At 37.4% G+C, this 26,617-nt stretch overlaps 1 long non-coding RNA gene across 10 annotated transcripts in view, besides 2 other annotated features; it reads right to left on the bottom strand.

The window, feature by feature from the left end:
• Positions 1-2,626: 2,626 nt before the first annotated feature.
• The window catches only part of LINC02932 (long intergenic non-protein coding RNA 2932), a 204,101-nt gene continuing 180,110 nt past the window's right edge, over positions 2,627-26,617 (bottom strand). For 2 of the 10 annotated variants that reach the window (NR_183374.1, NR_183375.1), the window contains 3 exons: positions 24,517-24,657; positions 21,451-21,549; positions 3,483-4,324 (listed from right to left, as the gene is read on the bottom strand). This is a non-coding gene — a long non-coding RNA (long intergenic non-protein coding RNA 2932). Of the gene's footprint in view, positions 2,752-3,153; positions 3,205-3,482; positions 4,325-21,405; positions 21,550-24,516; positions 24,658-26,617 lie in introns of those variants that run through there. The other 8 variants (NR_183373.1, NR_183371.1, NR_183372.1 and 5 more) reach the window with 7 other exon arrangements.
• Positions 10,351-10,850: an enhancer, noted in NCBI's record as "NANOG-H3K4me1 hESC enhancer chr7:91136517-91137016 (GRCh37/hg19 assembly coordinates)". NCBI's record gives its function as "activates a minimal SCP1, AML or CMV promoter by ChIP-STARR-seq in naive and primed H9 embryonic stem cells {active_cell/tissue: H9 hESC(naive and primed)}" and the evidence as "EXISTENCE:reporter gene assay evidence [ECO:0000049][PMID:30033119]".
• Positions 10,851-11,352: an enhancer, noted in NCBI's record as "NANOG-H3K4me1 hESC enhancer chr7:91136015-91136516 (GRCh37/hg19 assembly coordinates)". NCBI's record gives its function as "activates a minimal SCP1, AML or CMV promoter by ChIP-STARR-seq in naive and primed H9 embryonic stem cells {active_cell/tissue: H9 hESC(naive and primed)}" and the evidence as "EXISTENCE:reporter gene assay evidence [ECO:0000049][PMID:30033119]".

The raw sequence follows: 26,617 nt of genomic DNA, 5'->3' as shown, positions 1-26,617 counted from the left end.
ACTGGACGGACCTCCCTTGGTCTCAATGCAATGTATGGGTTAAGAGCTAGTGAATTCCCTATACTGGGTTCCCAAGTGGGTGCTCATGGTTGATCAGGCATTAAAAATCTATAGGTACTGCCCTAGGCCATGCCTCAGTGAAACCATCTCAACGTTTTCTTAGAGATTCTTTATCAAAGACCTGACAGAGATCTGGAGGATTAAAGAGTAGTGATACTGGTGATAATTAGAAATCCAGACCTCCATTCCTTCCTGCCAGAGCTGTCACTCCCAGGAAAGTCACAATTTCATTTCCTAATGAGATATAACATTCTGTTCCAAGGGCATTTTTTAGTTCTTACTGCTCTGTGTGTTGTACTATGTAACTGAGGGGTCCTGGCCTACACATTTCCATGTGGTTAATTACAACAGCATGTGGTAGAAGTCCTTACTGAATATGTAATCTGATGCCACTAATGTGATGGTGTCAGGTGCATAAAATGCTCGAGACAGTTAGTTGTGTTTCTTTTCTTTTTTGTGTGTGTGGAATAAATTACTTCATTGGGAGTTTGGAAACTTGCCCAGTAGTTTTTGAGAGCAGGAAAGTTTCTTTCTTTGTCATAAAGAGACTTCTTGCAAATAAAGCCCCTGTAATACAGGCCTGTATGAGACAGGGCTCCTCTGTACCCTTGTCATGTGCTTTGTACCTTGTGTAAGTAGCAGGGAGCAGAAAGGTGGAAGGAGAGGTGCCTAGAAGTCTCATACATGAGGGTGGTGAGAATAAAGATGAGACTGAGAGATGAGAGCAAGGACAAGAGAGGAGAAGAGTAGGTGGCAATAACATAAATTATATCTATATTAAGATACTGAAATATTTAAACTAGTAGACCAACAGCAGAGAGGAATGAGTAGCATAGAGACTTTGAGAGTAAAGAGCTCAGCATATTTCATTCACTTGAAATTAATTTAAGAAATGCAGAAATCACTCCATAAATATGAGGCCCCAGGTCAAAAGAATAGTTACTTATTGGATGCCTTAGGGTAGTCCCCAAAATAGATGTAATCATTACCAGTGCATAAGTCACATAATCTCTTCCAGTCTATTTCCTCACATGCGAAACGGGGACAATAGTAGCATGTACTTAATAGAGTTATTGAGAGGTTTATAAGAGATGATATATGTAAAGCCTTTGGCATGGAATCTATCATAGAGTGAGAACTCAATATAGTTCAGTGATGATTATGGGAATGGTGATGAAGATGATGGAAGACACAGAAGAGGATGCCACAAGAATCAAGCTGATTAAATGAATTTAAATGGAGCAAGAGATAACCAGATTTAAAAATTACTGGGACATTTTCCAGACCCATGAAAGAGCTATATGATACCTATGGTTTATTTGCAGATTAATTACATCCCATCTATTCCTACACTCTCCAAACATATGGACGAAGTAGAAAGTAAAACTAGGAGAAAAGCCAGCACCTGTGTTTTTGGGCTATTCAGTTACAGTGTTGGAGGGAATATCAAGAAATCCTTTTTTATGGGGAATTGTATTTGAGTATCTAAGACAGGTGAGTGTCTATAGTGTTCGTAAAGACTTCTAAAGGTGTGGTTTTTCTCAATAGTTGGGTTCAGGGTCTAATTATCTGGATGTTTAACTTAAACACCATTTCAGTCTGGTTCTGGTCTTCCTGGCAATGCACAACAGATGGAGTTCTATATAACCCATGACCCATAAGGTTGGAAGATAGGAATAACATCCATGCTACAACCTAGCTGTACTAAACCAGGCTTAGCAAAGATTCCTAAGGGTGAGCTAAAGGTCGTGTGTCATCTGCCTTCAATCAGAGATGTTTATGGGGAAAATGAGGAGCATGTCATGGCACAATGCAGTCCAGCTGCCTGAAGAAACTCCAGGGAAGAGAATCCAGAGGCAATAATGCAAAGCAGGCAGAGTTCAAGGTGACTCATGTGGCAGCTTTGGATAGGCCCATTCTGACATCAAAATAGCCACCAAAGAGTGGAAGTTCTATGTGGAAGTTTAGTCTGCACAGTCCCTTTGGGACTATTTGGGGTTTGATCCATGGTAGAGCTGATTATAAATTCAGCTATAATGGGACCTCTTATTGCTTCCATCGGCTCTGTCAGAGCCTTCTTTTCCAGGCCTTTGTCACCTTTGTGAATCTTCACTGCGTTCTTCTATATTCCTCATTCACCTCTTAAACTGAGAGGAACAAATCTGAACCTTGGGTTATACTTAGAGTCTGACTCAAAATACCTGCAGCCCAAGGATCTTTTGCCAGGTGTTTTAGGCCAATGTCATATTTCTCATAATTCATCCCAGGGAAATCCTCCTACAAATAAGCAAATAAATAAAACAAGAGCGCACTTTTCCTGACTCAAATGTATCATGTGTTCCAACGTGTGAATGTTTTCCATTTTATTAGTGCTAAATCTCTCATTCTTCATGGTTTGGTTTTATAGTTTTGGGGTCCTTAAGTACATAACTTGCATCTGAAAAACAGAGATGGTGTCTTTTTAATCTGTGTTTCTCTATTGTCTTAAACAATACTAACACCATAGGCAAATAGCAAACGCTTCTTGAGCAAATGAACAAATAAGGCATGAAAAAAAGCAACCATCTTTTCGCTTATTCTGATTTTTATTTCAGATCCTAGATCAGAGGCTTGAATTCACCAATCTGTGTACACACAGCTGGATGCAATACCCTTGGTTTTCCTGGTACCATCTGCTCACTAAATCATCCCCTGAAGGCCAAAAACAGAACAAAAGCAGCATTGGGGAAAGGGGAAAAGAGGTACGGAAACTGGACAGGTAGAGGTGTTTAAGGAAATGGCAGACATTAGCAGATGTCACAGAGATTTATTTCTTTTTCTGTGGGGATTTACTCTAGTGACTAAACTCTGTTTCAGCGTTTTTTTTCCCCCCAGAAAGCACTTGGAGCATTCATCATTTGCTGTGGGAGCTGCTTTGTGGGCAAAACTTCCTTTCCTTTCGGGTCTTGGATTCAGGGTTTAGACTTGAAATATTAAGAGGAACAACACCTTGAAGTTTCAGGGACAGAGAAAGTGCAAAGCCTAGGATGAGGAGGAGTTGTCAAGATAAATTCTCAAGGTACCTTTCTCAAAAGCATTCTTTCTCCTACTCACCTCTGGCGCAACCACATCCAGGAAGGGTGAGGAGTGAAGGCCTCAGACCATCTGTGTGGTGGGAAATACAAGAGATTTGAGCTCTTGGCATAGTGTTTCAGGCCATGTTTTGGAACCAGTGCCCAGAAAACAGGTGCTATGTTTTCTTGGGGGAGCATCCTCAGGGTTAAGGCTTTGAGAGTTGCCAACGAGCAGGGAAACCCATGCGTAAGTCATACACTTTAGGAAACTCAATAAATCCTCACTGATTAATTCCAGATCACCACCCGCTTCCCAGTCAGAGAAGTACATGTTCCTCAAAATTACCTTTGAAGATGGGAATTGCTTGGAAAGGTTTAAAAGAGGGAAGTCTTTTTAATTTTTTTGGTCATATATATTTATTTTACAATTAACTATGCCATAATGGAGTTTTTATGATGATTTTGTTTGGATACCACAAATAGAAATAAAAGATAGAAATTATCATTCACCTTAAACAATGGAAAACCAAGGGACAGAGAGGTCATTGGAAAAGTGACTCTCCATGATCATTTCCGTTCAGCACAATTAAAATCAGTGGTTTGGTAAATAAGTGTTATGGAGATTTGTCAGAGAATAGTAGAAATCTGAATTCTCATCTCTATTATGAAAGACGCTCATTTTAGTTAGAGTACTGCTAGTTACTGTAACAGACAAACTCCACAATTTCAGTGGCCTTTACAAGAAACATTTTTTTTGCTAACGTAACAGTTCATTGTGTGTATAACTGGTTAACAGCAGAGTGGTGAAAGGCACAGTTGCCCCACTCTTATTTAGGGACAAAGGCACAGTGGCTTTGCCATCTTAAATGTGTGCCTTCCTTTAGAGATTTTGATCTTTCCAGATTTCAACATTTGGGATTGTGGTATTTAGCACTGTGTCTTTTGAAATTATGGCCCAAACCCCTCCCAAGGACACCCTGGAAACCAACACAAACCAGAGGGTAGGGGAAAAGAAAGGATGGAGAAGGCATGTCTTCTTCTGACACATAACACTTCTGCTCATATTCCACTGATGACCATTCATCACAGGGCCTCACCCAAATAGGCATGGAGCTGAGAATGTAGTCACTGTCCACGCAGCCACCTTCTGGGTAGAACTCTACACTCTTGAAATGGGAATCTCCAAGCCACTGGGGGATAGCTGGGGAACTCTGTCATGAAAAGAATTAGGAAATGTGTTGAAATGGGGGAAGCAATAAAGTCAAGTTTATAAAGCCATTTTTGAGTTCTGAATCTGCCATCTAACAGCTGGATAATTTAGTCTTTTTGATCAAGTTTCCTCATCTATAAAGTCAACTTCATAACAACAGCTGACAAGATTGCAGTGAGAACTAAATAAAACACTAAACGTGAGCATTTTTTTTTTTTAAATAAACCAGCTCCTGGTGCTGTGAATACACAGAGTAGTTAGTTTTTTGGTTTTTTTTTAATAGACTTACTACCTATTTTTAGAGGCTTGCTCTTCAAGTCACTGGCTAATTAATAAAGAAAAATACGTATTCCTTATGCTTATATGATATTTCTTAATTATTACATTAGGAAAAGATACTGGATTTTTAAAAGTACAATTTGGAAATCTGGAGTTGGGATAATGGAGAGAAAGCCTGGTCTCTAATTGCTGCTCCTACACTGGCCAGCTGACCAACCGCAATCTGGTCACTTCATCTGTCTGGGCTGCAATTTCCTCAGAGGTAAAAAAAAAAAAAAAAAGTGGTTAGCTAAATAGTCCTTCCTGATCTGGAATGAGATAATATGAGGAGGAAACTCATCTCAATGACTCATCCACATTATCAGGTTGAAATCACGAGGAGGTCAGTGGAGAAATAACACCCAACATATAAATTTAGAGGTAACATCGTTTCACAATTTGAAGCAAAAAATGATTATTTTCTAACCTCTTAATGGAATAAGTAAACACTTATTTACTGCTTTTATTTTTATTTTTTTGTTTAACAGCAAAATTTGACTTTTTTTATGAGAATTGAACTTTTAGTTTTTTTAAATTTTTTAATTTTTTTATTTTATTATTATACTTTAAGTTTTAGGGTACATGTGCACAATGTGCAGGTTAGTTACATATGTATACATGTGCCATGCTGGTGTGCTGCACCCATTAACTCATCATTTAGCATTAGGTATATCTCCCATTGCTATCCCTCCCCCCTCGCCCCACCCCACAACAGTCCCCAGAGTGTGATGTTCCCCTTCCTGTGTCCATGTGTTCCCATTGTTCAATTCCCACCTATGATTGAGAATATGCAGTGTTTGGTTTTTTGTTCTTGTAATAGTTTACTGAGAATGATGATTTCCAATTTCATCCATGTCCCTACAAAGGACATTAACTCATCAATTTTTTATGGCTGCATATATTCCATGGTGTATATGTGCCACATTTTCTTAATCCAGTCTATCATTGTTGGACATTTGGGTTGGTTCCAAGTCTTTGCTATTGTGAACAGTACCACAATAAACATACGTGTGCATGTGTCTTTATAGCAGCATGATTTATAGTCCTTTGGGTATATACCCAGTAATGGGATGGCTGGGTCAAATGGTATTTCTAGTTCTAGATCCCTGAGGAATCGCCACACTGACTTCCACAATGGTTGAACTAGTTTACAGTCCCATCAACAGTGTAAAAGTGTTCCTATTTCTCCACATCCTCTCCAGCACCTGTTGTTTCCTGACTTCTTAATGATTGCCTTTCTAACTGGTGTGAGATGGTATCTCAATGTGGTTTTGATTTGCATTTCTCTGATGGCCAGTGACGGTGAGCATTTTTTCATGTGTTTTTTGGGTGCATAAATGTCTTCTTTTGAGAAGTGTCTGTTCATGTCCTTTGCCCACTTTTTGATGGGGTTGTTTTTTTCTTGTAAATGTGTTGGAGTTCATTGTAGATTCTGGATATTAGCCCTTTGTCAGATGAGTAGGTTGTGAAAATTTTCTCCCATTTTGTAGGTTGCCTGTTCACTCTGATGGTAGTTTCTTTTGCTGTGCAGAAGCTCTTTAGTTTAATTAGATCCCATTTGTCAATTTTGGCTTTTGTTGCCATTGCTTTTGGTGTTTTAGACATGAAGTCCTTGCCCATGCCTATGTCCTGAATGGTAATGCCTAGGTTTTCTTCTAGGGTTTTTATGGTTTTAGGTCTAACGTTTAAGTCTTTAATCCATCTTGAATTGATTTTTGTATAAGGTGTAAGGAAGGGATCCAGTTTCAGCTTTCTACATATGGCTAGCCAGTTTTCCCAGCACCATTTATTAAATAGGGAATCCTTTCCCCATTGCTTGTTTTTCTCAGGTTTGTCAAAGATCAGATAGTTGTAGATATGTGACGTTATTTCTGAGGGCTCTGTTGTGTTCCATTGATCTATATCTCTGTTTTGGTACCAGTACCATGCTGTTTTGGTTACTGTAGCCTTGTAGTATAGTTTGAAGTCAGGTAGTATGATGCCTCCAGCTTTGTTCTTTTGGCTTAGGATTGACTTGGAGATGCAGGCTCTTTTTTTGTTCCAGATGAACTTTAAAGTAGTTTTTTCCAATTCTGTGAAGAAAGTCATTGGTAGCTTGATGGGGATGGCATTGAATCTATAAATTACCTTGGGCAGTATGGCCATTTTCACAATATTGATTCTTCCTACCCATGAGCATGGAATGTTCTTCCATTTGTTTGTATCCTCTTTTATTTCCTTGAGCAGTGGTTTGTAGTTCTCCTTGAAGAGGTCCTTCACATCCCTTGTAAGTTGGATTCCTAGGTATTTTATTCTCTTTGAAGCAATTGTGAATGGGAGTTCACTCATGATTTGGCTCTCTGTTTGTTATTGGTGTATAAGAATGCTTGTGATTTTTGTACATTGATTTTGTATCCTGAGACTTTGCTGAAGTTGCTTCTCAGCTTAAGGAGATTTTGGGCTGAGACAATAGGGTTTTCTAGATATACAATCATGTCATCTGCAAACAGGGACAATTTGACTTCCTCTTTTCCTAATTGAATACCCTTTATTTCCTTCTCCTGCCTGATTGCCCTGGCCAGAACTTCCAACATTATGTTGAATAGGAGTGGTGAGATTGGGCATCCCTGTCTTGTGCCAGTTTTCAAAGGGAATGCTTCCAGTTTTTGCCCATTCAGTATGATATTAGCTGTGGGTTTGTCATAGATAGCTCTTATTATTTTGAGACACGTCCCATCAGTACCTAATTTATTGAGAGTTTTTAGCATGAAGGGTTGTTGAATTTTGTCAAAGGCCTTTTCTGCATCTATTGAGATAATCATGTGGTTTTTGTCTTTGGTTCTGTTTATATGCTGGATTACATTTATTGATTTGCGTATATTGAACCAGCCTTGCATCCCAGAGTTGAAGCCCGCTTGATCATGGTGGATAAGCTTTTCGATGTGCTGCTGGATTCGGTTTGCCAGTATTTTATTGAGGATTTTTGCATCAATGTTCATGAAGGATATTTGTCTAAAATTCTTTTTTTTGGTTGTGTCTCTGCCCGGCTTTGGTATCAGGATGATGCTGGCCTCATAAAATGAGCTAGGGAGGATTCCCTCTTTTTCTATTGATTGGAATAGTTTCAGGAGGAATGGTACCAGTTCCTCCTTGTACCTCTGGTAGAATTCGGCTGTGAATCCATCTGGCCCTGGACTCTTTTTGGTTGGTAAGCTATTGATTATTGCCACAATTTCAGGTTCTATTATTGGTCTATTCAGAGATGCAACTTCTTCCTGGTTTAGTCATGGGAGGGTGTATGTGTCAAGGAATTTATCCATTTCTTCTAGATTTTCTAGTTTATTTGCATAGAGGTGTTTGTAGTATTCTCTGATGGTAGTTTGTATTTCTGTGGGATTGGTGGTGATATCCCCTTTATCATTTTTTATTGTGTCTATTTGATTCTTCTCTCTTTTCTTCTTTATTAGTCTTGCTAGCAGTCTATCAATTTTGTTGATCCTATCAAAAAACCAGCTCCTGGATTCATTAAATTTTTTGAAGGGTTTTTTGTGTCTCTATTTCCTTCAGTTCTGCTCTGATTTTAGTTATTTCTTGCCTTCTGCTAGCTTTTGAATGTGTTTGCTCTTGCTTTTCTAGTTCTTTTAATTGTGATGTTAGGCTGTCAATTTTGGATCTTTCCTGCTTTCTCTTGTGGGCATTTAGTGCTATAAATTTCCCTCTACACACTGCTTTGAATGTGTCCCAGAGATTCTGGTATGTTGTGTCTTTGTTCTCATTGGTTTCAAAGAACATCTTTATTTCTGCCTTCATTTCGTTATGTACCCAGTAGTCATTCAGGAGCAGGTTGTTCAGTTTCCATGTAGTTGAGCAGTTTTGAGTGAGTTTCTTAATCCTGAGTTCTAGTTGGATTGCACTGTGGTCTGAGAGACAGTTTGTTATAATTTCTGATCTTTTACATTTGCCAAGGATAGCTTTAGTTCCAACTATGTGGTCAATTTTGGAATAGGTGTGGTGCGGTGCTGAAAAAAATGTATGTTCTGTTGATTTGGGGTGGAGAGTTCTGTAGATGTCTATTAGGTCCGCTTGGTGCAGAGCTGAGTTCAATTCCTGGGTATCCTTGTTAACTTTCTGTCTCGTTGATCTGTCTAATGTTGACAGTGGGGTGTTAAAGTCTCCCATTATTATTGTGTGGGAGTCTAAGTCTCTTTGTAGGTCACTCAGGACTTGCTTTATGAATCTGGGTGCTCCTGTATTGGGTACTTATATATTTAGGATAGTTAGCTCTTCTTGTTGAATTGATCCCTTTATCATTATGTAATGGCCTTCTTTGTCTCTTTTGATCTTTGTTGGTTTAAAGTCTGTTTTATCGGAGACTAGGATTGCAACCCCTGCCTTTTTTTGTTTTCCATTTGCTTGGTAGATCTTCCTCCATCCTTTTATTTTGAGCCTATGTGTGTCTCTGCATGTGAGATGGGTTATCTGAATACAGCACACTGATGGGTCTTGACTCTTTATCCAATTTGCCATTCTTTGTCTTTTAATTGGAGCATTTAGTCCATTTACATTTAAAGTTAATATTGTTATGTGTGAATTTGATCTTGTCATTATGATGTTATCTGGTGATTTTGCTCATTAGTTGATGCAGTTTCTTCCTAGCCTCAATGGTCTTTACAGTTTGGCATGATTTTGCAGTGGCTAGTACCGGTTGTTCCTTTCCATGTTTAGTGCTTCCTTCAGGAGCTCTTTTAGGGCAGGCCTGGTGGTGACAAAATCTCTCAGCATTTGCTTGTCTGTAAAGTATTTTATTTCTCCTTCACTTATGAAGCTTAGTTTGGCTGGATATGAAATTCTGGGTTGAAAATTCTTTTCTTTCAGAATGTTGAATATTGGCCCCCACTCTCTTCTGGCTTGTAGAGTTCCTGCCAAGAGATCTGCTGTTAGTCTGATGGGCTTCCCGTTGTAGGTAACCGGACCTTTCTCTCTGGCTGCCCTTAACATTTTTTCCTTCATTTCAACTTTGGTGAATCTGACAATTATGTGTCTTGGAGTTGCTCTTCTTGAGGAGTATCTTTGTGGTGTTCTCTGTATTTCCTGAATCTGAATGTTGGCCTGCCTTGCTAGATTGGGGAAGTTCTCCTGGATAATATCCTGCAGAGTGTTTTCCAAGTTGCTTCCATTCTCCCTGTCACTTTGAGGTACACCAATCAGACGTAGATTTGGTCTTTTCACATAGTCCCATATTTCTTGGAGGCTTTGTTTGTTTCTTTTTATTCTTTTTTCTCTAAACTTCCCTTCTTGCTTCATTTCATTCATTTCATCTTCCATCACTGACACCCTTTCTTCCAGTTGATCACATCGGCTCCTGAGGCTTCTGCATTCTTCATGTAGTTCTCGAGGCTTGGCTTTCAGCTCCATCAGCTTCTTTAAGCACTTCTCTCTATTGGTTATTCTAGTTATACATTCGTCTAAATTTTTTTCAAAGTTTTTAACTTCTTTGCCTTTGGTTTGAATTTCCTCCTGTAGCTCAGAGTAGTTTGATCATCTGAAGCCTTCTTCTCTCAACTCGTCAAAGTCATTCTCCATCCAGCTTTGTTCCATTGCTTTGTAGGAGGAGAGGCACTCTGCTTTTCAGAGTTTCCAGTTTTTCTGCTCTGTTTTTTCCCCATCTTTGTGGTTTTATCTACTGTTGGTCTTTGATGATGGCGACGTACAGATGGGTTTTTGGTGTGGATGTCGTTTCTGTTTGTTAGTTTTCCTTCTAACAGACAGGACCCTCAGCTGCAGGTCTGTTGGAGTTTGCTAGTGGTCCACTCCAGACCCTGTTTGCCTGGGTACCAGCAGCTGTGGCTGCAGAACAGCGGATTTTCGTGAACCGCGAATGCTGCTGTCTGATCGTTCCTCTCGAAGTTTTGTCTCAGAGGAGTACCCAGCCATGTGAGGTGTCAGTCTGCCCCTACTGGGGGGTGCCTCCCAGTTAGGCTACTCAGGGGTCAGGGACCAACTTGAGGAGGCAGTCTGCCCGTTCTCAGATCTCCAGCTGCGTGCTGGGAGAACCACTGCTCTCTTCAAAGCTGTCAGACAGGGACATTTAAGTCTGCAGAGGTTACTGCTGTCTTTTTGTTTGTCTGTGCCCTGCCCCCAGAGGTGGAGCCTACGGAGGCAGGCAGGCCTTCTTGAGCTGTGGTGGGCTCCACGCAGTTTGAGCTTCCCAGCTGCTTTGTTTACCTAAGCAATCCTGGGCAGTGGCGGGCGCCCCTCCCCCAGCCTCACTGCTGCCTTGCAGTTTGATCTCAGACTGCTGTGCTAGCAATCGGTGAGACTCTGTGGGCGTAGGACCCTCCGAGTCAGGTGTGGGATATAATCCCCTGGTGCGCCGTTTTTTAAGCCTGTAGGAAAAGCACAGTATTCAGGTGGGAGTGACCCGATTTTCCAGGTGCCATCTGTCACCCCTTTCTTTGACTAGGTAAGGGAACTCCCTGACACCTTGCACTTCCCGAGTGAGGCAATGCCTCACCTTGCTTCAACTTGTGCACGGTGCGCTGCACCCAGTGTCCTGCGCCCACTGTCTGGCACTCCCTAGTGAGATGAACCCGGTACCTCAGATGGAAATGCAGAAATCACCTGTCTTCTGCCTCGCTCATGCTGGGAGCTGTAGACCAGAGCTGTTCCTATTCGGCCATCTTGGCTCCACCTCCTATTTACTACTTTTAGATGGGTCTAGTGTTTCAAAAAGGTATGTTTTCTCATTTGCTCCACATTTTCTCCCTAGTTTTGTTTTTACATTTTTCTTCTGGAGTGAATGTGGGAAATAATGTATAAAATAGAGGTATGATTGAGTAGACATTATCTCAATGGCAAGTAAGCATAAGACTTTGACAAAAAATTTTCCCTTTAATAAGTCTGATATAAGGATTTGGAAAGAAAGATTTAGGGCAGACAAGCATCTTATGTGATTGAACTGATTTCTGTGTTCTGTGAACAGTGAATAAATAGTGATGAGGACAGTAAAATATGTCAACAATTAACAATTACTAGTGATACTTTATTTTGGTTCTTGCTTTTCTAAACTGTTAACCATGAACATATAAGTAAGTATTTAAAACATATATTGTTCATTAAATGTATGATCATGCTTATTTAACCAGCAGTATGGTCTTGGCTTAGTCTCATAGCCGTAGCCTCTCTGACCTTCATTTTCTTTCCTTTTTTTTTTTCTTTTTCAAATATCCCTTTCATTGTGAAATGTAACATGACAAAAATTGTCTATTCTGAAAAAATGGAGAAACATAGACGTATATCTTAATGTATATTTTAAATACCTGAGCAGTCATTGCATAGGTCAGGAAATACAATATAGGAATCTTGAATTCCAATACAGCAATTCTCCCAGCTTGTTCTTCAAGAGTGGTGGTGTAGGTCTTCTCTGCCCTTTGTCATTCCATTTAAATTTTAGAAAGAGATTTTTAAGTTCTAACAAAAATCCTGCTGGGACTTTGATTGGGATTGCCTTAAATTTACAGATCAATGTGAAGAGAATGTACTTCTTTATAATATTGGGTCTTCTAATCACAAACACAGAATATTTATCAATTATTTATTGAGGTCTTTGTCTTTTTCTAATGAAGTTTTATAATTATCTTTGTAGAAGTCTGGCATGTCTTTTGGCAGATCTTTTCCTTGGTACTTCATATTTTTTAATATTATAAATTCTCTCTTTATTTAACTTTTGCTCTTTATATTTTGTCATTCAGAAATAAAACTGATTTTTGTATATTGCTTTTTTTATCTTGAAAACCTGCACAGCTATCTTTTTAATTCTAATAATGTAACTGTAGATTATTTAAATTTTTTAATGTATAAAACCAAATATCTATAAATACTGGTAATTTTGGCTCTTCCTTTTTAATTTTTATCCCTTTTGGTTTTATTTTCTTGCCTTACAGCACCAGCTAGAACCCTCCATTTCTTGATCTGTTAAATTGGGATAATATTTTCTTTTGGGGTTATTGTACAATTATATTAGTTAGAGACAGTGTATATAACATGACTGATGCAGGGTCTGGAACATGGAAGAGGATCAATAAATGTCAGCTATTAACTACTTTCATTTTATAATTATTGATGAGCTTTGTGCCTTCTGTATTATGCTAAGTAATGAAGGTTAAAAAAGAACTAAGAGATGTTTTTTATTTGTAAGAAGCATACAGAGTAGTTGGAGAGACGAGGCAAACTAATGAAAATACAAGCTAGCATTTTCAAGTCCCAAACCACTGTTAGTGATGCTGCCCTGCTTTAAAGACAGCCAGTGTGACTGGCAGATGTTTCACAATGTAAACATCATAGTTAAATAACAGCTACTGCCCAGATTTGCATTTATGGATGGGGCCCTTTTATTTGCAAAAAGTTCTATGGGGACTTTGTAATAGGTACCATGGTAATTATGTGGGACCAGCCAAACTCTCCCATTTTACAGGGTGAGAATCGAGATGAGAAAATCTGAAGTTTTTGTAAGTTTGTGCTTGAAGGGCTTTGCAGAGGGAAGATAGATATCAGATGTGTTGATATCTATGCTAGTGTTGAAGGGCTTTGCAGAGGGAAGATAGATATCAGATGTGTTGATATCTATGCTAGTGTTCATCTTTCTATGTCCCATTAGAGTTCAGGAGAATAAGATTCACTTATGAACTGAGTCGTATTTTTCTGTCTCTTAAAATTCAATTCATTTATTCTAAAAAGATCAATGGCTCAAATGAACACTGGAAACTGCCTCCACCTTTCATCTCCTTGAAATCATGCCAGAAAAAGCCTCCAGCATGCCCAACTGTAGCTTACCTTTTCTAAAGTTTCTCCCTCCCTGGATGGTGGTAGCGAGTATCATCACTTGTTAACATACAGATGACTCCAGAAATTTCTGCACTTCAAAGTGAATCTTTTATTCACCTGAGTGTTTAACTATGTCAATGTGCTCTCATTATCAGATTTAATTGAATAATTCAACAAGGAAATGTGCCCAGTGCACACATTATACAGATGTGTTTGCCAACGTTATCTTGGCTTGCAGGAGAGAGCAACCCTCTGATGCCCTGAGTTATTCAGAAAGGCCATCACGGATGTCAACATAAGATAGAGGAGATAGACATCTGTGGTAATATGTGAATACCAAAATTTGTCCCTAGTTTATTCTTTTATCACATTGATAGGAGGCTGCGCTTGTGCTGCAGTTGCATAAGTGAACAGCTGGTCATGAGGAAGTTGTTGTACTTATCTTCCCACTGGATAGTATGTTATTTTTGGCCAACATAAAGCCTGTCAAGAATGGCTATACTCCAAGGTGAAGTAGAAGGCCTTGCATGTATGAAGACCTTGCTAGTTTCCTGGCCTGCTGGTGAAAAACAATTGTAATATTTCTGACCTAATGGAAAGATGCAGATTGCTTTTATATGCTGAAACTTAAACTCCAAGGTCATAATGTGAAGAGGTGAGGCCTCTGAAAAAGTGATCAAGTCATGAGGGCTAAAAAAAGTTTCAGAGAGCTTCCTGACCCTTCCTTATCTTTTGCCATGTGAGGGCACAGTGCTGTTCCCCTTAATTGCCTCTTCTACCATGTGAAGATGCAGTAAGAGGTGCCATCTTGAAGCAGAGAGTGTCTTTACCAGACACTAAATCAATCAGGACCTTGATCTTGGACTTGCCAGTCTCCAGAACTGTGAAAAAATAAGTTTTCATTGTTTATAAATTACCCAGTCTGTGGTGTTTTGTTATAACAGCAGAAATAGAATAAGACACAGATATATTTCCACTGCATTCATCCAAGTGTGGTTGAAAAAACTACATACTACAAATTATTTTATGTTGTTAATTCATACTATTTTATGTTGTTAATTCATACAGATACTTGGTTGAACTGCACAGATATATAATTTGAATTAAAACTGCTGTGAACCATGTAAAATATAGAGCATGCAAGACTAATTTACTATAAAACTGCTGTATTAGTCAGCTGTTTGCTTCAATAATGCTGTGTAAAAAAAACCACCTCCCAAATCTCAGTTGACTTATACAAACGAAACTTATTTGTTTGCTCTCAGGCCCATGAATTGGGTATGGCACAGCTGGACTTGGCTGGGCTAGATTTGGCTAGACTTGGCACGAGGATACAGACTGCATTTAGGTCTGTTTCATATGTCTCCTCATTTTGGGACTTGGATTGAAGAGGCTGTGGTTCCCTGGAACAATATCTCTTCGGGACAGAATGCAAGAGGGCAAACCAAACCATATATAAACATTTAAAGCCTCTGATTGAATGTGGTTCACATTATGTTCTTTAAAATTCCATTAGCCGAAGCAAGTCACCTTGTCAAACTAAGCCAGTGACATTGGAAAGTGTCCCTGCTAAAATATGTGTCTGGGCTGAAGAGAGAAGAAAGAATGGTGAACAAATAATATAATTTACTATAACTGGTGACGATAAGCCACTGAATGAAGTTAGGCCAACTGGATCATAAGGAAATTCAATCTATCAGAATCAATTTGGTATTTTTTAATGTCAAGATTTTTTTAATTCACTTAAAATCGTTATGCCATGTGATTTCCCTTCTATTGGATCAATAAGCTTATGCGCTTCAGGACTAGAAAATATGTCTTCTAGAACAATAAAGTCACTGCTAGTCTCAAATTATGATTTCTGAATCTCTAGTAAGAAAATACTACATGGTCAGGATTTTGTGGGAGAGAAAATGGGTTTCTAAATTCAAAATTCTCTTTTACTTTCAAAAACAGAGCATAGGGGCTGGGTGCTGTGGCTCACGCCTGTGATCCCAGCACTTTGGGAGGCCGAGGCAGATGGATCACTTGAGGTCAGGAGTTCAAGACCATCCTGGCCAGCATGGTGAAACCCTGTCTCTATTGAAAATTAAAAAAATTAGCTGGGCATGGTGGCAGACCCTTGTAATCCCCAGCTACTCGGGAGGCTGAGGCAAGAGAACCACTTGAACCTGGGAGGTGGAGGTTGCAGTAAGCGGAGATTGTGCCACCACACTCCAGCCTGGGTGACAGAGTGAAACTGTCTCAAAAATAAATAAATAAATAAATAAATAAATAAATAAATAAATATATAAATAAATATAATGAAAACAGAGCATAGGAAACTGAATTTCAAATTTTACTGTAAAATATAGATAGAGCTATGACAAAAGAAAAAGTAAGTTATTAATTGCCTCAGAGGAAGTGACCACCTCTGGGTGTTAGAGGTGGGAGGAACCTAATGAAGGGCAAAGCATCATACAGGTAGGGCTTGGCAACCCCTTATGTAAAGGGGTAAGGATAGAATCACCAGATGGACAGGGAAATTTTCAAACAGTGAAGCCTATCTTCTGGTGGAGAACAGCACCATTTCAAGACCTTTTGAGATGCTTCATGTTCAGTTTGGTGCTAGAGCAACTTGTGTCAGGAAGTAGGTTAGTATGTTCATCAGGGTTTCCCAGAGGAACAAAATCAGTAGGAGATACTCATATATGTATATACTCACATGTGTGTGTAATTAGAGGTTTATTTCAAGGAATTGACATGTAATTTTGGAGACTGGCAAGTCCAAAATCTATAGGGTATAATGGAAGGCTGCAAACTGTTAGGTAAGATCTAATGCTGCAGTCTTGGGACAGAGTTTTTTCATTTTTAGAGAAACTTCAAGGCCATCTGTGACAAACCCATAGCCAAAAAAATACTGAATGGGGAAAAGATGAAAGCATTCCCTCTGAGAACTGGAACAAGACAAGGATGCCCACTGTCATCACTTCTCTTCAACCTAGAACTGGAAGTCCTAGCCAGAGCAATCAGACAAGAGAAGGAAATAAAGAGCATCTAGTTAGATAAAAAGGAAGTCAAGCTGTCACTGTTTGCTGATGATATGATCGTTTACCTCAAAAACCCTAAAGACTTCTCCAGAAAGCTCCTAGAACTGATAAAAGATTTCAGCAGTTTCAGGATACAAAATTTATGTGCACAAATCAGTAGCTCTTCTATACACCAACAACGACCAAGCAGAGAATCAAATCAAGAACTCAACCCATTTTATAATAGCTGCCAAAAAATAAAATAAAATAATTAGGAATATACCTAGCCAAGTTTGTGAAAGACCTCTATAAGGAAAATTACAAAACACTGCTGAAAGAAATCATAGATGACACAAACAAATGGAAACACATCCCATGTTCATGGATGAGTAGAATCAATATTGTGAAAATGACCACACTAACAAATGTAATCTACAAATTCAACACTATTCTCATCAAAATGCCACCATCGTTCTTCATAGAATTCAACAAAATTCTAAAATGTATATGGAACCAAAAAAGAGCCTGAATAGCCAAAGCAAGACAAAGCAAAAAGAACAAATCTGGAGGCATCACACTACCTGATTTCAAACTATACTATAAGGCGATAGTCACCAAAACAGCATGGTACTGGTATAAAAATAGGCACATAGACCAATGGAACAGAATAGAGAACCCAGAAATAAACCCAAATACTTATAGCCAACTGATCTTCAACAAAACAAACAAAAACATAAAGTGGGGAAAGGACACCCTTTTCAACAAATGGTGCTGGGATAATTCGCTAGCCACATGTAGGAGAATAAACTGGATCTGCATCTCTCACCTTATGTAAAAATCAACTCCAGATGAATTAAGGACTTAAATCTAAGACCTGAAACTATAAAAATTCTAGAAGATAACATTGTAAAAATCCTTCTAGACATTGGCTTAGGGAAGGAGTATATGACTAAGAACCCAAAGCAAATGCAATAAAAACAAAAATAAATAGCCGGGACTTAATTGAGTTAATTAAACTAAAGAGCTTTTGCATGGCAAAAGGAACAGTCAGCAGAGTAAACAGAAAACCCACAGAGTTGGAGAAAATCTTTATAATCTATACATCTGACAAAGGACTAATATCCAGAATCTACAATGAACTCAGACAAATCAGCAAGTAAAAAACAAACAATCCCATCAAAAAATGTGCCAAGGACATGAATACACAATTCTCAAAAGAAGATACACAAATGACCAACAAACATATGAAAAAATGCTCAACATCACTAATGATCAGGAAAATGCAAATCAAAACCACAATGCAATATCATCTTGCTCCTGCAAGAATGGCCATAATCAAAAAATCAAAACATAGTAGATGTTGGTGTGGATGCGGTAGTCAGGGAACATTTCTACACTGCTGGTGGAAATGTAAACTAGTACAGCTACTATGAAAAACAGTGTGGAGATTCCTTAAAAAACTAAAACTACCATTTGGTGTAGCAATCTCACTACTAGGCATCTGCCCAGAGGAAAAGAAGTCATTATATGAAAAAGATACTTGCACATGCATGTTTATAGCAGCACAATTTGCAATTGCAAAATTGTGGAACGAACCCAAATGCTCATCAATCAATGAATGGATAAAGAAACTGTGGCATACAGAAATACAAACTATCATCTGAGGATACTATAAACACTTCTATGCAAATAAACTAGAAAATTTAGAAGAAATGGATAAATTCCTTGATACATACACCCACCCAAGACTAAGCCAGGAAGAAGTCGAATTCCTGAATAGACCAATAACAAATTCTGAAATTGAGGCAGTAATTAATAGCCTACCAACCAAAAAAAGCCCAGGACCAGATGGATTCACAGCTGAATTCTACCAGAGGTACAAAGAGGAGCTGGTACCATTCATTCTGAAACTATTCCAAACAATAGAAAAAGAGTGAATCCTCCCTAACTCATTTTATGAGGCCAGCATCATCCTGATACCAACATCTGGCAGAGACACAACAAAAAAAGAAAATTTCAGGCCAATATTCCTGATGAACATCAATGTGAAAATCCTCAATAAAATACTGGGAAACCAAATTCAGCAGCACATCAAGAAGCTTATCCACCACGATCAAGTCGGCTTCATCCCAGGGATGCAAGGCTGGTTCAACATATGCAAATCAATAAACGTAATCCATCACGTAAACAGAACCAATGACAAAAACCACATGATTTTCTCAATATATGCAGAAAAGGCCTTTGATAAAATTCAACACCCCTTCATGCTAGAAACACTCAATAAACTAGGTGTTGATGGAACATATCTCAAAATAATAAGAGCTATTTATGACAAACCCACAGCTAATATCATACTGAATGGGCAAAAGCTGGAAGCATTCCCTTTGAAAACCAGCACAAGACAAGGATGCCCTCTCTCACCACTCCTATTCAATATAGTAGTGGAAATTCTGGCCAGGGCAATCAGGCAAGAGAATGAAATAAACGTATTCAAATAGGAAGAGATGACATCAAATTATCTCTGTTTGCAGATGACATGATTGTATATTTACAAAACCCCATTGTATCAGTCCCAAAACTCCTTAAGCTGATAAGCAACTTCAGCAAAGTCTCAGGACACAAAATCAATGTGCAAAAATCACAAGCATTCCTATACACCAATTATAGACAAACAGAGAGCCAAATCATGAGCAAACTCCCATTCACAATTGTTACAAAGAGAACAAAATACCTAGGACTATAACTTACAAAAGATATGAATGACCTCTTCAGGGAGAACTATAAGCCACTGCTGAAGGAAATAAGAGAGGACACAAACAAATGGAAAAACATTCCATGCTCATGGATAGGAAGAATCAATATCATGAAAATGGCCATACTGCCCAAAATAATTTATAGATTCAATGGTATTCCCATCAAGTTACCATTGACTTTCTTCACAGAATTACAAAAAAACTACTTTAAATTTCATATAGAACCAAAAAAGAGCTCATATAGACAAGACACTCCTAAGCAAAAAGAGCAAGGCTGGAAGCATCACGCTACCTGACTTCAGACTATACTACAAGGCTACAGTAACCCAAACAGCATGGTACTGGTACCAAAACAGATATATAGACCAATGGAACATAACAGAGGCCTCAGAAATAACACCACACATCTACAACCATCTGATCTTTGACAAGACTGACAAAATCAAGCAATGGGGAAAGGATTCCCTATTTAATAAATGGTACTGGGAAAACTAGCTAGCCATATGCAGAAAACTGAAACTGGACCCCTTCCTTACACGTTATACAAAAATTAACTCAAGATGGATTAAAGATTTAAATGTAGGACCCAAAACCATAAAAACCCTAGAAGAAAACCTAGGCAATACCATTCAGGACATAGGCATAAGCAAAGACTTCATGATTAAAACACCAAAAGCAATTGCGATAAAAGCCATGATTGACAAATGGGATCTAATTAACCTAAAAAGCTTCTGCACAGCAAAAGAAACTATCATCACCACGAACAGGTAACTTACAGAATGGGAGAAAATTTTTGCAATCTCTCCATCTGACAAAAGGCTAATATCCAGAATCTACAATGAACTTAAACAAATTTACAAGAAAAAAAAAAAAACAACCCCATCAAAAAGTGGGCAAAGGATATGAACAGACACTTTTTAAAAGAAGACATTTATTCAGCCAGCAAACATATGAAAAAAAGCTCATCATCACTGGTCATTAGAGAAATGCAAATCAAAACCACAATGAGATACCATCTCACACCAGTTAGAATGGCCATCATTAAAAAGTCAGGAAACAACAGATGCTGGAGAGGATGTGGAGAAATAGGAACACTTTTACACTGTTGGTAGGAGTGTAAATTAGTTCAACCATTGTGGAAGACAGTGTGGCAATTCCTCAAGGATCTAGAACTAGAAATACCATTTGACCCAGCAATCCCATTACTGGGTATATACCCAAAGGATTATAAATCATTCTTCTATAAAGACACATGCACGCATATGTTTATTGCAGCACTATTCACAATAGCAAAGACTTGGAACCAACCCAAATGCCCATCATTGACAGACTGGATAAAGAAAATGTGGCACATATACACCATGGAATACTATGCAGCCATGAAAAAGGATGAGATCATGTCCTTTGCAGGGACATGGATGAAGCTGGAAACCATCATTCTCAGTAAACTAACACAGGCACAGAAGACCAAACACCACATGTTCTCATTCATAAGTGGGAGTTTAACAATGAGAATATATGGGCACAGGTAGGGGAACATCACACACTGGAGCCTGTTGTGGGGTTGGGGGCAAGCAGGGGGATAGCATTAGAAGAAATATCTAATGTAGATGACGGGTTGATGGGTGCAGCAAACCACCATGGCACATGTATACCTGGGTAACAAACTTGTACATTCTGCACATGTATCCCAGAACTTAAAGTATAATAAAAAAAGAAACTGTGGCATATATATATATATATATGATGTAATACTGCTCAGTCATAAAAAGGAATGAATGAATTAACAGCATTTGCAGCAACCTGGATGAGATTGAAGACTATTATTCTAAGTGATGTAATTCAGGAATGGAAAAGTATGTAAAGGCATAAGAATGATACAATGGACTTTGGGGACTTGCGGGGAAGGTTGGGAGGGGGCAAGGGATAAAAGACTACAAATAGGGTGCAATGTACACTGCTAGGGTGTTGGGTGCAGCCAAATCTCACAAATCACCACTAAAGAACTTACTCATGTAACCAAATACCACCTGTACCCCAATAACCTAAGGAAAAATAAAATAATTTTCACCTAGAAAAAAAATTTTAGTTTTGGGCTTTTCCATATTAAAAATAGTTGAATAATCACATGATTTAATACATAGTCTTTCTTTATTGTGTTTTCTGTATTAGTTTGCTCTGCCACTACTATAAAAACATACCTGAGACTGGGTAATTTATTAAGAAAAGAGGTTTAATCTGCTCACAGTTCTGCAGACTGTATAGGCTTCTGCTGCTGGGAAGGTCTCAGGAAACTTCCAATCATGGTGGAAGGCAAAGAGGAAGCAGGCACAATCTTCACATAGCTGGCAGGAGAGAGAGAGTAAAAAGGGAAGTGGATCTCATGAAAACTCTATCATGAGACAGCACTCCGGGGTAGTGCTAAATGATTAGAAACCACCCCCATGATTCAATTACCTCCCACCAGGCCCCACCTTCAACACTAGGGATCACAATTCAACCTGAGATTTGGGTGGAGACAGAGCCAAACCACATCAGACTTTATAGTCAATGAGATGTAATTAGTAGGAAACTTTGTCTGCAGTTTTATTTACTAGCAGTTATAAACACAGGTGCCAGAATTACCCAATTTTTGTGTCTGACACATATTGAAGTGATTGCACCATTTGGTTTTAGCATATATCACTTTTAATTATGATCACACGAATTTGTGAATGTAATTTTGAAATAAAAGAAGGTTATGTCCAGCAGATCTCACTGACAAAAACTATCAGTATTTAAAGCAAACAATGTAAAAATATGTGTTTCTTTGTGTGTGTGTACGTATATGTGTACATACAGACGCAAATATACATATACTTTAGGTATATATGTACAGTGTTTTTATGTTTGTATATATATTGTATGTTGTATACATATGTTGCATAACATATATATGTTGTATATATATGTTGTGTATATATATGTCTAATATGAATGTGGTCTATCTATACAATGGAATATTATTCTTCAATTCAAAAGAATAAAGTTCTCAAAAGAAGAAAAAGAACAGGCCAATAGGGATATAAACAATGCTCAACATCCCTAATCATCAGGGAAATGCAAATTAAAATCAGAAATCACAATGAGATATCACCTCATACCTATTATAATGGTTATTATTAGAAAGACAAAAGTTAATGTGTTAGTGAAGACGTAGAGAAAAAGGAACACTTTTACATTGCTGGTGGGAATGTAAATGAGTACAGCTATTCCGAAACAAAGTATGGAGGCTCCTCAAGGAATCAAAAATAGAACTACTATATGATCTAGCAATCCTACTACTGAGTATATATCCAAAGGATATGAAATCAGTAGTCAGACATCTGCACTCTCATGTTCATTGCAGTATTATTCATAATAGCTAAGATATGGAAACTATGTCTATAAATGAACAAACAGATAAAATGGGGCATATATGTATAAAATGGAATACTACATACCCTTTAAAAAATGAAATTCTGTCATTTACAAAAATATGGATGAACCTGGAGGACATTACGTTAAGTGAAATAAGCCAGTCATTGAAAGACAAATATTGCATGATCTCGCTTATGTGTGGAATCTAAAAAAGTCAAACTCATAGAAACAGAGAGTAAAGTGGTGATTACCAGAGGTTGAGGGTAGAGAGATTAGGGAAATGTTGGTCAAAGGACACAAAATTTCAATTAGACAGGAGTAATAAGTTCAAGAGATCTATCGTATATCATCTTGATTACTGTTAATAGCAATGTATTGTATGCTTGAAAATTGCTAAAACAGTAGATTTTAAATTTCCTCATAGTAAAAAAATAAGGATAGGAAGTAATGCATGTATGTTAAATAGCTTGAGATTTGTCCATTCTACAATGTATACATGTATCAAAACATCATGTTGTACACCATAAACACAATTTTTACTTGTCAATTAAAAATTTAATTAAAAGTAAAATAAAAACTCTTGTTAAAAAGAAATCAATCTTATCTTTTTCCATTCAACTATTCCACTAGCCTAAAATGTAAAAAAAAGAATGAAATACTGAAACATGCTACAACATGGATGGACTTTGAAAACCTTATGCAAAGTGAAAGAAGCCAGACAGCGTCCACATATTGTATTGCTCCATTTATATGAAATGTCCAGAATAAGCAAGTTTATAGAGACAGGAAGTGGATCACTGGTTGCCAGGGTCTGCAGAGAGGGGAGAGAAAGGATAATGACTACTAATGGATAATGGGGTTTATTTGAGGTGGAAATATTCTGAAATTAGAACTGCATATCTACTTAAATATCCTGAAAGTCTCTGAATTGTGTACTATAAAAGGATTAATTATATATTTTGAGAATTATTTATCCATGACAATAAATAAATAAATTATAGAACTGTAAGGATAAATTGACAAATCCACAATTGTAAAAGGAAATTCTATTTCACTTTCCTTAGAAATTGACTAGTTAGAAAAACAAATGATAGGTAAGAATGAGGAGGATTGCAATCACATAATCAACAAGATTGACCTGATAGATTTCTCTTTAACTTTGTGCCCCTCACAGTAGAGAATGTATATTTTTTCAAATACATACAGATTCATTCACAATGATTAACCATATATTAGCATAAATAAGAAATATCCACAGTTTTCAATAGCTTTCCATATATGTGACATTCACCGACCACAATACAGTAAAATTGTAAAATTTACTGCATTAGCTACAAATTAATATTTTAGAAAGTATCTGTACCCTGGAAAAAATTTCCAAATAACTCTTGGGTTCAAGAAACAAAATAAGCTGCAAAATATTTAGGACTAAACAGCAGCAAAAACATGGTATGCATATCAAATCTTATGAGATGCATCCAAAGAAAGACTCAAGGGAAAATTTAAAGTCTTAAATATAGTATTTTAGAAAATAAGAAATAATGAACTGAAATTGATTAAGCTTTAAAGTTAAAAAAGAAAAAGGAGCCAATAAGGATAAGAGACGATATTAAGAAAACAGAAAGCAAATAAAAACAGCAAAGATAATCACAAAATAAAATCTCATTATTTGAAAATACTCATAGGAAAACATAAAGATAGACATTGACAAGTATCAAGGAAAAGAGACACCCAAATAAGATAAGGAACAAAAATGAATCATACACAGAGGAATAAAATATAAAAAGAAACACCAGTAAATGTGAATATGCTGATGAAATGGACACTTTGCAGGAAAACACGAGTCGCTAAAATTGGCCCAGTGGGTTACTTAAATAGACTAAAACCATAAAGGAAATAAAAATGGTACTTACTGCTCTGTCTCTACAAAAGGCACTAAAGTGACTGCTGTTAACTGTTTAAACAACGGGCGCAGTGAATTCTCATTATCCACAGTAGTTTTGTTCCGTAAAGTTGCTGCTAATACTGAATTAGTGAATCCTGAACCATTGTTCCTAGGGGAAATATAGAGTTAGGTTTTTGTGAGCCTCTAGCCACAACATTTTCACTAACTGATCAATGCATAACTTTATTTTCTGTGTGTTTCTGTTTAAAGACCCTGTGATACATATTGCTGATTCATTAACATTGAGCTCATGTCCAATAGCACTAAAACTTATGCCTGAGTAAAGGTAATTTAACACACATATTTCCTCCATAAGGCATATCACAGCCATTTGTCTTGCTTAAGAACACTAGACAGCACTGCAGCATTATAGTTGAGGGCCATTTTAAACTGTAACATCACCAACGAAAATGCAAAAAACATAGCACTAAGTATACCACGAAAAAGATACTTATTTATAGTATGGGATCTGAGACAAGAAGGCAGAGCATTGCCTTGTTTGACCTTAGCTGGGAACATGAACATAGAATGACAAATTTTTGGCCACTCTGTTTATGTTCACAGATTACCATCAAAGTGCTACAAATATTGATTTTGGGGTTACGGATCAATTGTAGCTGGTAGGCAAAATTACAAATATAGAGTCTATGAATAATAAAGATTGATTATAACTGCTAATTTATCTATTTGCTCCAAGACATAGGAAAAGTGGCATAGGAATTATGCCACTTTAAATTAAGCTAAGGACCACACAAGGAAAGAAAATTATAAGCCTATTCCATATTAACAAGGAATCCAAAATGTTATGTCACATATTGGCAAACTAAATCCAGCAGGAGATGAAAAGAACAAAATATTAGGAATACGTATATCTGAGGAATTCAAGGATAGTTCAAAACTAGAAACCGGTATGTGTCTTTGTTCAGACTGCTATAACAAAATACCACAGACTGGATAGCTTATGTACAACAGGAATTTATTTCTCATAGTCTGGAGGCTGGAAAGTCTAAGATCAAGGTGCCAGCAGATTCAGTATCTGGTGAGGACCTGCTTTCTGGTTCACAGATGGCACTTTCTGACTATGTCCTCACATGGTAGAAGGAGCAAGTCAACTCTTTGGGGTCTTTTAACATAAGGGCACTAATCTCAATTATGAGAGCTCCATTCTCATTATCTAATCACCACCCAACGACAATACCTCCTAATGCCATCACATTAGTGATTAGGTTTCAACAGAGGAATTTTGGGGAGGCACAATACTAAGACCATAGTAGTATGTTAATTAGCACTTTAAAAAATAGAACAGTATTACCTCAATAGCTGTAGAAAATGCATTTAATCATATTTAACATTCAATCATGATGAAATTTCTACAAATTTCTTAGCAAACCTGGACTTAAGCCTGAGGATTAAGCAACATTTGGCCAAAAGCCTGAGGATAAAGTCAATATAGGAGGATAGCAAAGCAAGGGGACTTTCATAAAAGCAGAGCTGGGGCTTGACATGCTCTACCTGAAGTGACTCTGTCTTGAAATTTCCTGGTATATAAAATAATATATTCTTGTGTTATATAGGCTAATTTTAGAACTGTGTTTCAGTTACTTTGTAATAAATATGAAAAGCAAGACCAAAATAGTCAATGATTTTTAGATGATATGATTATCTATCTAAAAAGTAAAAAAACAAGAATCTCATCTTATGAACTATTGGAACCAATAAGAAAGTTTAATAAGGTGGCCAGATATAGGAATGGCATATAAAAATCAATAGCTTGAATGTTATCATAAACTTGGAATACACTACTTTTTTTTTTATTATACTTTAAGTTCTGGGGTACATGTGCAGAGATGAGATTTTTTAAGCCAATCACAAAAAGCAATAACAATAAAGATGAAAATGATAAATTAGATTATAGCAAAAGACACTGCTAAGGTGGATAAAGTCTATCCTCAAAGGGAGAATATATTAGCAATGCATACAACTGACAAAGAACTCATATCTAAGACATAAAAAGAATTCTTGCAAAGCAATAAAAAGATAGACACAAAAGAAAAATGAATGGAAAGCTT

Source organism: Homo sapiens, chromosome 7, assembly GCF_000001405.40.
Source record: "Homo sapiens chromosome 7, GRCh38.p14 Primary Assembly".
NCBI classification, from domain to species: Eukaryota; Metazoa; Chordata; class Mammalia; order Primates; family Hominidae; genus Homo; species Homo sapiens.
This window is presented reverse-complemented; position numbering and strand designations above follow the sequence as displayed.